A 3,209-nucleotide genomic window follows, 5' to 3' on the forward strand; every position below is an offset into this window, starting at 1 on the left:
GTGATGGTAAGGCACTCAGCCCAGCCCCATGTTAGGTGCAACCCAGGTATCTATGCATGTCCTGGCCAAGGTGGCAAGTCCAGCAGCATTTCCCAGAGCTCGTCCTCTCCCAGCCCTCTTTGTCTTCCATTGCAGAGCTGTGCATTCCACTGCAAACAGAGCCTGCCATTGAGCCATTTTTCTCTGCACTGCACATAGTTTCTGCTGCCAGGATGAGTCACCATGCAACACATACCCTCATCCCCTCCACGCTGTACTTAAAATACTCTAGGGCTGGCCAAACAGAACCCCACTGTGAGTGAGCACGTGTGTGAAGGTGGGATTGGCAGCTCAGCCCTGCGGAGCCCTCTGAAGAGCAGTCTGCATTGTGTTTGGCAGAGAGATTCAGAGAGCCAATATTTGGGGAGGGGCAGAGAGGGGAAGGTCTGTTTTTCAAATCTGGTTCGACCTCATGCAGCCTGCCAAGTTGCGCCCTCTCTTTTGCAGGCACCCCTCACTTTAGCTTCTCTGAACAGAAGGATCTTACTGCTAGGGGTTGATTTGTCCTGCCTCTTCTCCCAGCCCAGCTTCTGACTGGCCACCTTGCTACAAACAGGACTGCTCTGTCCTGCTTTTACCTGCCAGCCTGTCTGCCTCCAGCGTAGATTTTTCTTCAATCGCAAGAGCATCTATTCATTTCCTGAGTTAGAACATGTCATCCTCACTGGGACGGAGGTCTCTCACCGCTCTCCTGCCATTCCTGCTCTCCGCTTCCCCTCATCCACCCACAGAGCACTAACCTTGGGCAGAACCAATCACAGGACTCCAGAACCATGCCTCTTCCCCAGCCTGCACTGAAAAAAGGGATTAAAAATTGTTCTCTTCCTCCTGAGCCTTTAAACTGAACTGAATAATTTCTTTCTCCTTTCTGCAGAGAAACACTGGGTTTCCATACGCATTGACTGAAAAGTTGTCTTAGTTCCCCATGGTCCACACCCTCTTCCACGCCCAGCCACACACTCCACCTGCCGGGGCACCCCTCCCTTTGGAGAACCACACATGTTCGGCTTTCAACCTGCTGCTACAGCACCCTTCACAGAAGGGGCCTTGGAACAAAAGCCCAGCTCAGCACAGCCCAACGGGACATAAAGTACTTGAGTTATTCATTACTTGAGTTGGAGGAGGTCACACAGCAGGAAGCGCACTGGAAAGCAAGGGGAAAGGTGGCAGAGAGGGTGGGGAATGCGTCAGGGTGACCTTCTAGGGGCTGATGGGAACTCAGAGTCCTGGTATGGGGTGGGTATCAGAGTGGGAAGGTGACAAAGTCATAGCAACAGCCCCAAGGTTAGCCAAGGTCAAATGGAAACAGCTGATTATAATTAAGCTAGCTACTTAGCTCTTGCCATGCCTCAGGCACTGTGCTTAACACTTTCCCATATCGCTCCTTTTATCCTTGCAATAATGTATCACTTCAATTTTATGACTGAGGGAACAGCCCTGGAGAGAACAAGTGACTTGCCCAAGGTCACCCAGCTAGCATGCATGTTCTGAAGCTGGGAAGGTGAATGTAGGTCTTTACCAGCTTGTTCTGTGTGATGAAGTGGTTAGATGAGTGGTACAATTCCAGATGGTCTAGAGTGGCGGGGCAAGTGGAGTCTGAGATGAGCTACTGAGATAAATCTGGTTCCTATAGGGCTGAGATCATGTTTTCCAGCAGCAATCCCAGGACTGGGTGGAAACCTGGAGGTTTTCAGGAAGGCTGGAGGAGGCTGGCTTAGGATGAGCTGCTGCATTGGCTGTGCAGACGTGACCCTCAGGACTTCATCTGAACCTGTGAAGAGTTTCCATGCAGGGAAGGGGGGATGAGTAGAGCTAGGGACCTAAAATTTGAGAGGGGAAGATATTCCCCAGTGGAAGACAGTAAATCAAAGACTAGAGACCAAGCATCAGTCTACTGGGTGTTTGCTACACCTCTGAAGAGCTAAGGTAGGACACTTGTTTTAGGAAAAAAGAAAATCTGTCACTGGAGACTCTCTTTATATATTTTGTCTTACCATATGCTTCTTTTGGAAGGGGGGTTGGGAATCAAGGTACAGGAACGGAGTGGGCACAAGTAAGGGCACCACCAACTCCCAGAACCGCCTCATCCCTTCCCATGCTACCCTTTCCCCACTCATCTCTTTTTGCTGATTCTGCCTACAGGTTTTCCCTCCTGTTACAGTAATGGACACTCAACAACACATACCCTTCCCAGCAACCTGTCCTGCTGGAAAACTACTCGATAAGGTAACTTCTGCCTGAAGGGGACCAGGGTCATCATACCCGCAAGTGCAGCATCTTCCTGCAGCTCTCATACTACCAAGCTGGGGTTTTTCCAACATAAACATTACAGGTGCTAAACGAGAGGTGGCTTCCTTTCTCAATAAGCTGTTCTCTCTCTCGGATGCCCTTGACAGAGCCCTGCAGCCTCCCCCACTGGGGCTTGGTGGATAGGTGGTCGCTTCTCCCCCGAATTTCAGGAATGTTTAGGTTTGCACAGGTCCTGCAGGCGAGCTTGGAGAAGGATTAGAAAAATGCTCATTCTTAATCAGTTCGGGCTTGTCTTTATGCCAGCGAGGTTGACCTTGGGGACAGAAGGGTGGCCAGGATAAGGACAAGCATCCTGGTATTGGGGAATTCTCTGATATGGGGCTGGGACGTCAAGATGGGCCATGATGGCCCCTGGGGATAGGGCTTCTCTGCAGTGGAAGCAGAAGCATCCCGGTGTTTTCTGCTGTGTCACTGTCCTCAGAGGGATGTATAAAGCTGCTTGGGGGCTCATAGGAGAGGGATGAAACCAAGAGTTTGGCTTTCCAGCAACAGCGGACAAAGAGTGGGAAGGGGTACTCTATGCCCCAGGTCTGCAACATCTTGCCCTATGCGCTAGGTTTTCCCAAAGGTCCTTTGGCTCCAAGAATTTTACAGCAGAACAAAGGGATCGATACCCCCAAGGGGGCATAAAAGCATGCCAATGAGAATACCCGCCGCCGACCGGGCACCAAGAAAGTCCTCGGTGGCTGGGTCACGTGCAGATATTGTTGCCTGGGGTCTAGACTGGCCTGAGTCTCAATTGGTTTCTACGGGACAACTCACTGCGGGCTACCGCCCTGGGTGGGTTTGGCAATTGTCCTGCTCGAGGTGGTTCAGGCCGCCCACAAGGGGCACAGCCGGGCAGTCAGGAACCGGGGCTG

General features: G+C 51.6%; 1 long non-coding RNA gene across 1 annotated transcript, besides 1 other annotated feature; it reads left to right on the plus strand.

The window, feature by feature from the left end:
• Positions 1,596-2,379, plus strand: LOC101928596 (uncharacterized). The gene is made up of 2 exons (NR_135799.1): positions 1,596-1,965; positions 2,182-2,379. It is a non-coding gene; the product is annotated as an uncharacterized LOC101928596 (long non-coding RNA).
• Positions 2,579-3,152: an enhancer, noted in NCBI's record as "H3K27ac-H3K4me1 hESC enhancer chr1:169074345-169074918 (GRCh37/hg19 assembly coordinates)". NCBI's record gives its function as "activates a minimal SCP1, AML or CMV promoter by ChIP-STARR-seq in primed H9 embryonic stem cells {active_cell/tissue: H9 hESC(primed)}" and the evidence as "EXISTENCE:reporter gene assay evidence [ECO:0000049][PMID:30033119]".

This window comes from Homo sapiens, chromosome 1, assembly GCF_000001405.40.
Source record: "Homo sapiens chromosome 1, GRCh38.p14 Primary Assembly".
Lineage (NCBI taxonomy): Eukaryota > Metazoa > Chordata > Mammalia > Primates > Hominidae > Homo > Homo sapiens.